This window comes from Homo sapiens, chromosome 10 (assembly GCF_000001405.40).
Source record: "Homo sapiens chromosome 10, GRCh38.p14 Primary Assembly".
In the NCBI taxonomy this organism is placed as follows: Eukaryota; Metazoa; Chordata; class Mammalia; order Primates; family Hominidae; genus Homo; species Homo sapiens.
Window position 1 is genome coordinate 29,683,973 of NC_000010.11, and position 13,090 is coordinate 29,697,062.

At 43.5% G+C, this 13,090-nt stretch overlaps 1 protein-coding gene across 3 annotated transcripts in view, besides 1 other annotated feature; it reads right to left on the reverse strand.

Annotated features, from left to right (window-relative positions):
* SVIL (supervillin) overlaps positions 1–13,090 on the reverse strand; it is a 279,599-nt gene that overhangs the window by 226,635 nt on the left and 39,874 nt on the right. For all 3 annotated transcript variants that reach the window (NM_001323599.2, NM_001323600.1, NM_003174.3), the window contains exon 2: positions 2,581–2,679. The gene's annotated coding sequence lies outside the window, so the exon portion shown is untranslated. The remainder of the gene's footprint in view (positions 1–2,580; positions 2,680–13,090) is intronic.
* Positions 4,188–4,806: an enhancer, noted in NCBI's record as "OCT4-NANOG hESC enhancer chr10:29977089-29977707 (GRCh37/hg19 assembly coordinates)". NCBI's record gives its function as "activates a minimal SCP1, AML or CMV promoter by ChIP-STARR-seq in naive H9 embryonic stem cells {active_cell/tissue: H9 hESC(naive)}" and the evidence as "EXISTENCE:reporter gene assay evidence [ECO:0000049][PMID:30033119]".

The window sequence follows — 13,090 nt, forward strand, 5'->3', positions numbered from 1 at the left end:
CCAGAAATTACAAGTGCCATAATTGAGTTGAACATCTTTGCGTAATTTTTTTAATGTGTGAAAACAAAAAGCCAACCACCCCCACCGAAAAAAACTCCAAAAAACTCTGCTTCCTTTGGGCCATCAATAGAGAAACTGTAGAATTCCTTTTGGTTAAAATAGACCTAGGAAGATTCAGTTTGACCAACTCCAGTTCAGGGAGGCTCTTCTGCAGCAACATCCTTGTCAGACAAACACAGAGTTTCTATAGTGTGAACCAAAAAGTATCTGAGACAGGTCTCAGTCAATTTAGAAGTTTATTTTGCCAAGGTTATGGATCATGACCTGTGACACAGACTCAAGAGCTCCTGAGAACATGTACCCAAGGCGGTTGGGTTACAGCTTGGTTTTATGTGCTTTACAGAGACAGAAGACATTAATCAATACATGGAAGGTATACACTGGTTCGATCCAGAAAGGCGGGACAACTTGGGGGGTGGGGGCTTACAGGTCATAGGTGGAGTCAAAGATTTTCTGTCTGGAAATTGGTTGAAAGAGTTAAGTTATTGTCTAAAGACCTGGAATAAACAGAAAGGAGAGGAGTGTTTGGGTTAATATGGGGGTTGTGGAGGCAAAAGTTCTTATGTAGATGAAGTCTCATAGTCTCATAGGTGGCTGCCCCCAAACGCAATAGATGGTCAATGCTTCCTATGCAGACCGTTAAAAGGTGCTAGACTCTCAGCCAATCTCTTCAGTATTAGGAAAAGACCTGGAAAGGGAAAGGATTCTCTATGGAATGTAAATTTCTCCCAAAAGAAACAGCTTTACAAAGCTATTTCAAAATATGTCAAAGGGATAAAATACTGTGATTTGTTTTCAGTGCCTGCTATGGACCATATGATGCTACAGTAGAGTCAGGTTGGAATTTGGTATCTTACTGTTCTGTCAGTCTTAGGACCTTTATTTTTTTTTAACTTTTATTTTAGGTTCAGGGGTATTACACGTGCAGGTTTATTACGTAGGTAAAACTGTGTGTCACAGGGGTTTGGTGTACAGATCATCACCCAGGTAGGAAGCGTAGTACCCAATGAGTATTTTTTCTGATCTTTTCTCTCCCCCAAGCCTCCACTCTCAAGTAGGCCCCAGTATCTGTTGTTCCCCTCCTAGTATCCAGGTGTTCCCATTGTTTAGCTTCCACTTATGCATGAGTACATACGGTATTTGGTTTTCTGTTCCTGCATTAGTTTGCTAAGGATAATGGCCTCCAGCTCTATCCATGTTGCTGCAAAGGACATGATCTCGTTCTTTCTCATGTCTGTGTAGTATTCCATAGTGTATATGCACCACATGTTCTTTATCTAGTCTACTACCATTGATGGGCATTTAGGTTGATTCCATGTCTTGCTATTGAGAATGGTGTTGTGATGAACATATGTGTACATGTGCCCTTATGGCAGAACAATGTATACACGTTTGGGTCTATAGCCAGTAATGGGATTGCTGGGTCAAATGTTAATTCTGCTTTAAGTTCTTCAAGGAATTGTCACACTGCTTTCCACGATGAACTAATTTACACTCTCACCAACAATGTATAAGCATTTCCTTTTCTCCACAACCTCGCCGGCATCTGTTATTTTCTGACTTTTTAACAGTAGCCATTCTGACTGGTGTGAAATGGTATCTCACTGTGGTTTTGACTTGCATTTCTCTAATGATTAGTGATGCTGAGCATTTTTTTACATGCTTGTTGGCCACGTGTATGTCTTCTTTTGAAAAGTTAATGCTGGTCAGTTGTTTGCCTGAACTCCAAAGGGAGGAGAGTGTAATGAGGCATGCCTGACCCTCCCTTTCCATCATGATCTGAACTAATTTTTCAGGTTTTGTTGGGTCCCTTGGCTGAGAGGATGTTCCATTCAGTCACTTGGCTTAGAATTTAATCTTTGGTTTACAATAGAAATATCTCCATCAATGGAGAGCTTCGTCCAGGCCAGGCAACCCATTCATTAGTCAGTCAGATGTTCAAAAAATCCTCCTTATACTGAATTCAAATCTGTTTCTTTATATCTTCCACCCATTGGCCCTAGGACCAATTTGCCTAACAAAGTAGATCAATATGAATTTAAATATGGTTTATTTTTAACTATAAATCCAATCATTAGGCAGAGCAACTTGAAGTAGAGAGAAAAAATAAACTGATACTTTCAGAATGGACAAGCAAGGAACCTGTGATTAAAATGAGTTCCTACACTTTAGTGGTCTTCCTGTAACCTCTATCTTGGAAATTCTTTCATAATCCCTATAAATGTGAGGCTGTCACACAGAACAAGCTGGGAATCAGGCCCAGGAACATGGTCTAAGGAAAGGAGTCAACTGCTTTGATGGTAACACCTTAATCCTCAGGTAGACCTACCTGGAAAAGCTTATTTAAGAAGAACATTTTAAGTTTTGTTTTTAAAAAGTCCATCTCACACAATGAAATTAGAGTGGTACCAGTTGTTATTATAACAGAAAATGTCTAAAACTCTCAGTTTTGTCTTTGCTGCTACTGCAGCTGAACTCCACATGATACTGCAAACATATTCCGAAATCATCAATAATTACCTTTTCTTCCGCTAGTCAAAACTCAGTGAGAATCCACCATCTCTTCATGGGCTTCTCCTTCAGTTTTAGAAAGCAACCAATCTCCAATGTAGCCAGAATCTGGGGGAGAAAAGTTTTAAAAAAATCATAGGATGTAATTTCCAAAGCCTAGAAATATATACTTAAATGAAATGGAATGAATCGGTTTGCATTTAACCTCTGGAAATACCGCACTGCTTCTTACTTTATCAATATTCCTCACTTCCATATGACCAGCACAGTAGGATTTGAAACTGACACACAATTTCTAGAATCCTCTAGATTTTTCCTACTTGGTAATTTAAATCATGACTAAAATTGTTTTGATTGAATCCACTTTAACCAGGCTTTGCCATTACTTCTTGCAAACAACCACGTGCAAGGGAATATTTAAAAAAATCTCAAGACCCCCAAACTCCTTACGCAAAATAAAAGATTAAGCCTGGAGGCTGAGTCATGCAACACCCTCTTTCAAATGAAGAGCTGTTACTAGCATTATCCAGAGGAGAAGGCCTCAGGACTGCCTCCATAGGTAAGTAAACTTTTTGCTGCCCTCCCATAAACAAGGACATGCCAATTGTAATTTTATGTTTACAATCTAAGTCTAGCTCTTAAAACTAAAGTCTATTCGATTCCGCACTGATAATGTCAATTACAAGCTTATCTTCCCTGGTATAGAACAAAGACAAGACCAGATCAATCATTCCTCCACCTACCCAAAAACTCTGCATAATTGATTCTTCCTTTATTCCCTTTTTTCTCTTCAAACATTCACCTTACCGTATGCAAAATGTAGATTTACTGGGCACTAAATAAAATCTCCCAAAAATGTCAAGTTTGGCCAGGTGAGGTGGTTCATGCCTGTAATCCCAACACTTTGGGAGGCTGAGGCAGGTGAATCACCTGAGGTCAGCAGTTTCAAACCAGCCTTGCCAACATGGCAAAACCCCCGTCTCTACCAAAAATACAAAAATTAGGCAGCCGTGGTAGTGCACACTTGTGCTGAGGCAGGAGGATTGCTTCAATCTGGGAAGGGAGGTTGCAGTTAGCCAAGATCGCGCCACCGCACTCCAGCCTGGGTGACAGAGTTGAGACTCTTTCTCAATAAACAAACAAACAAAAACCCCGTAAATTTGCTTTACCACCTACCTGCCCCTTTTTCTACAATGCCTTCCCCCTTTAAGAAAAGGTATAAATACTAAACCTCCTGAAAACTTCTTTGGAATAACAGCCACAGGTCTGTCTATGGCATTTGTTTTTCCCCTGGATTATGCCCTTAAGATGGCTTAATAAACTCATCGACTGAGACTTTTGCCTCAGTCACTAATTTGGTTATCACAAGTTACTCCCAGTTTCAGCAATGGATAGTTCCCTTTCTTGCCCAATAACCGCCCTAGTTCTGGGGTAAGCCATGAGAAACAAGCATTGCAAATAGTTCACACACATATGCAGAAGCAGCAATGACACTTTCCCCGGTAGAAGGGGAAAGTGTCAATTACGCTTCATTTATCTAGATAAGGGGTAGAAAATCTAATTATAATGGTTGAACAAACTATTTTCCCCCAAAGACACATTGAAAATTTCCAAGCTTCTGAATATAAATGAAAAGTGCAGAAATGTCTAATAATGTAGCATTAGCTAATTCAGTTTGTGGATGCTTCGAGGCGGTGAGGCAGTGAGCCTGACTGTCTCCCCTCAGGGGATGATTGATGGCTTAGCTCTCTGGAGACGGTTGGTCTGACCAGTGCAACGTCAGAAGCCAAAGGTCACCATACCTCCCAGGTGATCAGATGCTCCCTAGAGTGTGGCAGGGGCAGCCAAGCATCTGAAGATGCCGTTCAGATCCCACTGGGATTTCTGCCTCGTTCCCTGCTTTCTTTGTTATTTAACACCAGGCTCCCTGGGATCGCTATTTGCCCAGCTTGGCAGCAGCAAAAGCCAAGTTCTAATTTTCTTTTGTTCCTCTCTGTTTCACTTAGCTGGGCTCTTTGCCTTAGTTTGTTTCTTCCTGTTTACAGCAGTGGCAAAAGTCATTTGAGCACTGAAATGCACACAGAACTGAGCTACAAGTGTGAGGAGCTCTTTTTAAAAAATTATCTATCTACAAAAATGTCTAGGGTAACACGGCCCAAAAAAACATAAAAAAATCTCTGAAGTATGGAGATGCTCAGTTGCCCAGTGATCAGGATGTGTATCAGTATGTTTTAATATATTTAAATATGTTTTAAGTATATGTTTTAATACACTTATTATGTGCTATCAGCTATTAGGAAAGGTAAATGTGAAAACAGAGAAAAATGTTAAGTTTACAATATATATGCAAACATTTATGAGATAAGACTAGTGAAAAGAGCAGAATTTAAAATTTTACCAAAGTGCTGTTTACAACTTTACCCAGAGCATAATTACATATGGATGAAGATACTGAAATCATAAAAGGCACATATATATACAGTGCAAATAAACTAAAAGAAGGAGTTGTTGATATTTGCTAAGCTCTAGGAATTATGCAAACAGTGATATAGCTCTTCCCCAACTCAAAATATCCAATTTAGAATCACAGAATGAGTAGAAGGGACCTTAGCTCAACTTTTTCTTTTCACAGATAAGTAAATTTATGCCAAAAGGAAGTGATTCATCCATGCGTATACAGCTACCCACTGGCAGAACTGAGGCTAGAACTGGTATCTCCCCGACTCATGAGTCTCTTTTCTTTGTTTTCTTTTTTTTTTGAGACAGAGTCTCGCACTATCACCCAGGCTGGAGTGCCCTGGCGCGATCTCAGCTCTCTGCAACCTCCGCCTCCCGGGTTCATGTGATTCTCCTGCCTCAGCTTCCCGAGTAGTGGGGATTACAGGCACACACCAACACATCCGGCTAACTTTTTGTATTTTTAGTAGAGATGGGGTTTCACTATATTGGCCAGGCTGGTCTCGAACTCCTGACCTCGTGATCTGCCCATCTCGGCCTCCCAAAGTGCTGGGATTACAGGCGCGAGCCACCGCGCCCAGCCGAGTCTCTTTTTCATACTGCATACTGCAATGCATTCATACACACAGGTCAGGGAGCCCTTGTTATTGGAGTATTCATGACCCAAATCCCTACAAATGATGGGCTTGTTCAGGGAAGCACACCTTCAAAATACTAAAATATTTCCAAATAGCCATTTTTTTGACTTGAGTCCCTCTTAAAAATCCATCATTGTTCAAAGTCAGCCTCTATCCCTAATTCTGTTAGTGACTGTCTCGTACCTCCCACAGATGTATGTCCACTGCAGAGCAACACTGCAAAACTTTCCCCCAAATACAGAATTTCATGAGGCTAATCAAAATGGCATTAGAGAATTTCCCCAATAACAGGTAAAACAATGGCCAGTGGGAGCTGAGCAGTTTGATTAGGAAACAATCACTTCAGAGAAAAATCTAACGTTGGTGACAAGATAGAACTTTCTACAGTGATTTTAGTATTTAAAAATCTAAACGGCTCCAGAGGAAAATGACCAAGACCTTGAATATCTTTGTAACACTGGTCATCTTTATGCTGTGATGTAAATGTCAATTGTGATATAAAAAGTACCAAAATGTAGAATCGCCTCATTTTATACAAAAAATTTACTCCTTTCAAAATAATCAACACTTGACTTTCACACTGCTCATTCTAAGAGCTAGCCATAGTCACAATGATCACCTAAATTTTGATAAATGTATGCTAAAATAACTTATTTTCATAGTTTTCAGTTAATTTTTTTCATGATAAAGTCCCAAAGCTTTTTTTCATTATATGAAATGTTGGTCCCCATTTAAGTGGATTGACCTTAAATGGCCTTTTTTCTGGTTCTCATTATCCTTGGATAACAAGGATCTGCTGTTGAATCTTCAGAAAGAAGTTTTAGAAGTATAAGTCAGTAATATGGAGGCTATTTATATCATTTAGAACCAAGCATACATTTCAGAAGCAGAACTTCAGATCAGAATATGCAATACTAGAAGGCCCTATGTTTTTATTTCACCTGTCTGTCATAAAAAATAATGAATTTTATATTTTAATTTATATAAAATAAAAACAAAGATTACAAAATCACAAATGACTACATTTGTCTCAATTCTTTTAAAAAAGGTGAAAGCATAATAATGTATTTATCATCCTGAATTACATAATTAAGTTTCCAGTTTTAATATCCTATTTCATTCGAACACAACCCATGAGAACACCTGCATATGGTTGTTAATCATTGCTGATTTGCATATTGTGATTAGTTCCATCATCTGCAATTATCTGGGGTTCTGTATAATTCATGGTCTGAACTTTACCTGAGAACAATCAAGTTGGCTGATTTTTCTTACGTTCAAATGTTTTTTATATGAAGATAGTTAATATTCAGGGCTAACATTCATTCGTTCAGATAATGAAAGCTATTCTAGTATCATAAAACGCAAAGCTTCATTTTAGAAGCATCAATTATTCAGTGGAACATTTTCTTCTGGAAGAGTAAAAAGACTAAAAGAATATTTTTCCCATTAAATAAAACTGCAATGTTCTATAGTAGAAAGATTTTTTTTTCTCTTACTTTTCAATCTGTAACAGTATTTGGAGCCTAAATGACCAATAATGAACAATGTAAAGTATGTTGGATAATGAATAATTTTTTTTTTTTTTTTTGAGACGGAGTCTCACTCTGTCGCCCAGGCTGGAGTGCAGTGGTGCGATCTCGGCTCACTGCAAGCTCCACCTCCCAGGTTCACGCCATTCTCCAGCCTCAGCCTCCCGAGTAGCTGGGACTACAGGCGCCCACCACCACGCCCGGCTAATTTTTTGTATTTTTAGTAGAGACGGTGTTTCACCGTGTTAGGCAGGATGGTCTCGATCTCCTGACCTCGTGATCCACCCACCTGGGCCTCCCAAAGTGCTGGGATTACAGGCGTGAGCCACCGCGCCCAGCCCCAATAATGAATAATTTTTAAAGATTCTTTTCTTGGCGACGCTCCAGCTTCTGTGACCAAAATAATAAATAATTTATGATTTAGTTTGTCCACTAATCCTGTCTCAGAGATCAAGACAAAGATTTTTGACTCAGTCTTTCTGCCAAATTTGCTTATCTCTCAAATGAGTGTAAATTTATGGCTCAGGATTAAGACATGACTAATAGTTCCTTCCAGGTTTCCAAGGACAACAAACCCCCCATCTACCCCGGCCAACAGATGCTGGAGAGCAAAGATTACGGAATCCCTGTAACACTCTGTTATAGGTAGACACTCGAATTATCTCACCACTGTTGTCTACAAACAAGAAGAAAAATAAGCTCAAATCACCCTTTCAAATAACTGAGCAGCACGCTAAGGAAAACAGATGAGCTGCTCAGCTCTGGTCCCCTTCCTGGAATGAAATTAGCACCCATCTGGAAGTTGGATCAGCCAATAAGCAACTGGAAACACAGGAAACAGGGGAATCCCTGCCGCAGCTCACTCAGCTAAGACACTGTCAACCTCAGTGAAGAACCTCAGTTGCTTTACAGCTACAAAAAGAAGGTTCTCATGCCAGAAACCTTCGTCAAATCATAGAAAACAAAGAATCGTGAACTTGGTTTCTTGTTTTTGGCATTCTGGCTTACAAGTAGAAGCAAGTAGAGGTTCGTCAACATGAAAACTGCCTTTTAAAGGAAATGCATTACTAGACTCACTAACAACCATATGAGACGATGTGATTTTCATGACAAAGCCGATGAACTCTCCCTGGTTCTGCTCAGCAGAAGGATGGAGACAGAACATTCCACCCCGTATGAGCAGGTGAGCTCAGGAATCCCATTGCATTCAGCCACTTCCTAACTTGGGCAAGTTTAATCTCTCAAAACCTCTTTCCTCTTCTGGAAAATAAGCACAGGAACAAACTCATAAGAGCCTGCAATGAGATCATCAGTGTCAAGCACTCATTATAGTGCTTGGCATACACCAAATGTTCAGGAGAGATCTGTGATGATTATTTTTCCTGCTACACACGGAATACAATAACATTCTACTTTCTCTGAACCTTATATATATATAACAATACATATAAATGCTTATTTATATGTATATATGATATATATATAAAAATATATTTTTTTAATATAAGGGCAAGGTCTCCCTATGTTGCCCAGATTGGTTTCAAACTCCTGGGCTCAAGGAATCCTCCTGCCTCAGCCTCCCAAGGTGTTGGAATTACAGGCGTGAGCTGCTGTGCCCAGGCGGGACTTTTTTCCTATTACTGTAAAAATATAGAAACACTAGTATTTCAGAATGCTCCATTCTAAAATTCTTTTTCCTAACAACTACTCCCAAATAGCTATGACCCATATGGTTTTTGTCTCATGGTCACTGACGCTGACATAGTCCTTAACCATATATGCCTAGTGTTCCATTATTGGAACGCTAAGCTTGTGGGAGTTATTTATATCCCACCCCTCAAGGTCATCGCCAAGGTCCGATTTTTCACACAAAAAGACTGCAACCTCAGGCATAAATGGGTTAATGGCAGGCACTCCGAGTGTTTTCCATATGTTAACTCACCTAACCCTCATCATAATCCTGTGAGGTAAGAACTGTCTTCATCCTCATTTTACAGATCAGGAAACTGAGACTCAGAACAGCTAACCAACTTGCCCAGGTGTTAGAGACAAGTCAGGATTCAAACCAGGCAGGGTGGCCCGAATCCATAATTCTCAAGCATGACACTATAGGACCTCTGTTTTGTGTATTTATTTGGGGATGGGGGGTGGGGGAGAGGAGCAAAGGCAAGGAGAGAAGAGGAAGGAAAAAAGAAAACAATCTAGAAGGTTTCTCCCTCCTACCCCTTCACAGGCACGCATACATAGAAAAGGTTGCAGCTATGAAGACATCACCAAATACATTCTCATTGGCTGGTTCTTCAAATAAAAAATTTAAACTTTGCGTTGAAAGGGCAGTAAGTTCCTAGAGATGCCTGGAAAAATGGGAGAGAATAGATGCCTGAGCACCCAGCAGGACTAAGCTGCCCCTGGAGAGCCAGGTGGGCGCCAGACCTCACTGCACTCCAGAGCCAAGCCGCTGTGTGCATCACAACTGCACACACACAAGACACCTGCAAGTGCCAGCCCTTTCCTTCTCCCGAAAAAACGTCTTTCAAAGCACCTTCTTAAATAGGAATGCCTTACTCAAATGTGAGAAAAGCCAGGATACTAATAGCTACTACCAAAACAGTGGAAAAATAATACGTGTTTGGCCTATAAAAGTTCCTTACCCACATTAATCAAATCTTCTTTCTTCATTAGATCATTATCCTCATTTTAGAGGCAAGCCTAAAAAATGGAGTGTTTTGGCCTAAGACATAGTTATTGAGATAGATAGATAGATACATATATACATACATACATACATACATAGATACATAGATAGATACATAGATAAAATTGCAATTCCATCTTCTAGATCCTATGATGGGCTAAGGAGCCCAGTGTCCTCTCCCATCCCATAGACAGCCCCCCTACCCAGAATTGTAATGAACGAACAAAGTCAGAAGATGTAAACAAAGAAAGGAATAACAAAAATTGATATTGGCAGGGTAGTGCTTTGGGAAGCCGAGGCCGGAGGATTGCTTGAGGTTAGGAGTTTGAAGCAGCCTGGGCAACAGAGCAAGACACTGTGTCTACCAAAAAAAAAAAAAAAAAAAATCTTTTCTTAAATTAGCCAGGCATGGTAGCACATGCCTATAGTCCAAGCTGAAGCAGGAGGATCACTTGAGCCCAGGAGTTGGAGGCTGCAGTGAGCTATGATCACACCACTGCACTCCAACCTGGATGACAGAGTACAACCTGTCTCTTAAAAAAATAAATTGATACAGTTATTGTGAGCATGGTTACATTACAAGCATTTCCCAAAATACAATTTTTTTTTTCTGAGATCGAGTTTTACTCTGTCACCTGGGCTGGAGTTCAGTGGCATGATCTCGGCTCACTGCAACCTCCACCTCCCGGGTTCAAGTGATTCTCCTGCCTCAGCCTCCCCAGTAGCTGGGATTACAGGTGTGTGCCATCATATCCAGCTAATTTTTGTATTTTCAGTAGAGAAAAGGTTTTGCTATGTTGGCCGGGTTGGTCCCAAACTCCTAACCTCAAGTAATCCTTCCACCTCGGCCTCCCAAAGTGCGTGAGCCACTGGGCCTGGCCCCAAAATACAATTTAACGTTCTCTTAATATAACCAAAGGGGAAAAGGAAAACTAAGGAAGAACTTGGAATTTATAGGAAAGCTCAAGGTGAGAGATTCATACGCTATAAGCCGTTGGACCTAAACAGCCCGAGGGACAGAATTATAAGGAAACTGTGAATTCCTAAGGAAAGGCAGCTAGAGGAAGGGAGGGGCCTGAGTTATCTCTCTCTGCAGGGTTGAGCGCTCCTCCATTCTGCATGCCTCGCACAATGCACGGTACTTCTGAGGGCAGAAATTCGGCAATTCTAGTGAATTGGGGTTCCAGAGCCTTGGAGAACAATTTCTGCTTGAGGTCAAGAGAGACCTCCGGGTCCCAAAGCAATGAAGACAAACTAGGAATGAAGATGTGGCACCACCAACACTAGGGCTTCTGCAGCCGGAAGCAGCAGCCACTCCAGAAAGTATGGAATGTACGAGCTGCTTATTTAAAATACTAATTGATTCCCAATTAGTAATTTTGAAGGTTGACTCACCTTGACGTCTCCTATGAGAAGGGGTAGTGGGAGTGAGGGATGAAAAAGTACTTATTGGGTACAATGTACACTATTCAGGGGGCAGGTACACTAAATGAGGGGTACACTAAGTGCCCTGACTTCACCACTACACAATTCATCCATGTAACCAAAAACCATTTGTATCCCTAAAGCTGTTGAAATTTTAAAAAATTTAAAAAATAGCCCAGGCGTGGTGGCTCACGCCTGTAATCCCAGCACTTTGGGAGGTCAAGGTGGGTGGATCACCTGAGGTCAGGAGTTTCAGACCAGCCTGACCAACATGGTGAAACCCGTCTCTACTAAAATACAAAAATTAGCCAGGTGTGGTGGCATGAGCCTGCAATCCCAGCTACTCAGGATGCTGAGGTGGGAGAATTGCTTGAACCCAGAAGGCAGAGGTTGCAATGAACCGAGATTGCACCACTGCACTCCAGCCTGGGCGACAGAGCAAGACTCCCTCTCAAAAAAATAAATAAAATAAAAAATAAGATGTACAAACAGCTCCCGTCTCCCTCTCCCTCTCCCGTCTCCCTCTCCCGTCTCCCTCTCCCTCTCCCGTCTCCCTCTCCCTCTCCCTCTCCCGTCTCCCTCTCCCTCTCCCGTCTCCCTCTCCCTCTCCCGTCTCCCTCTCCCTCTCCCGTCTCCCTCTCCCTCTCCCTCTCCCTCTCCCTCTCCCGTCTCCCTCTCCCTCTCCTTTCCACGGTTTCCCTCTCATGCCGGGCCAAAGCTGGACTGTACTGCTGCCATCTCGGCTCTCTGCAGCCTCCCTGCCTGATTCTCCTGCCTCAGCCTGCCGAGTGCCTGCGATTGCAGGCGCGCGCCGCCACGCCTGACTGGTTTTCGTGTTTTTTTGGTGGGGACGGGGTTTCGCTGTGTTGGCCAGACTGGTCTCCAGCTCCTAGCCGCGAGTGTTCCGCCAGCCTCGGCCTCCCGAGGTGCCAGGATTGCAGACGGAGTCTCATTCACTTAGTGCTCAATGGTGCCCAGGCTGGAGTGCAGTGGCATGATCTCGGCTCGCTATGGCCTCCACCTCCCAGCCGCCTGCCTTGGCCCCCCAAAGTGCGGAGATTGCAGCCCCTGCCCGGCCGCCACCCCGTCTGGGAAGTGAGGAGCGTCTCTGCCTGGCTGCCCATCGTCTGGGATGTGAGGAGCCCCTCTGCCTGGCTGCCCAGTCTGGAAAGTGAGGAGCGTCTCTGCCCGGCTGCCATCCCACCTGGGAAGTGAGGAGCGCCTCGTCCCGGCCACCATCCCATCTAGGAAGTGAGGAGCATCTCTGCCCGGCAGCCCATCGTCTGAGATGTGGGGAGCGCCTCTGCCCCGCCGCCCCGTCTGGGATGTGAGGAGCGCCTCGGCCCGGCCGCGACCCCGTTTGGGAGGTGAGGAGTGTCTCTGCCCGGCCGCCCCGTCTGAGAAGTGAGGAGACCCTCCTCCTGGCAACCGCCCCGTCTGAGAAGTGAGGAGCCCCTCCGCCTGGCTGCCACCCCGTCTGGGAAGTGAGGAGCATCTCCGCCTGGCAGCCACCCCGTCCGGGAGGGAGGTGGGGCTCAGCCCCCCGCCCGGCCAACCGCCCTGTCCGGGAGGTGAGGGGCGCCTCTGCCCGGCCGCCCCTACTGGGAAGTGAGGAGTCCCTCTGCCCAGCCAGGAGCCCCTCTGCCCAGCCAGACGCCCCGTCCGGGAGGGAGGTGGGGGGGTCAGCCCCTCGCCCAGCCAGCCGCCCCGTCCGGGAGGGAGGTGGGGGGCTCAGCCCCCCGCCCGGCCAGCCGCCCCGTCCGGGAGGTGAG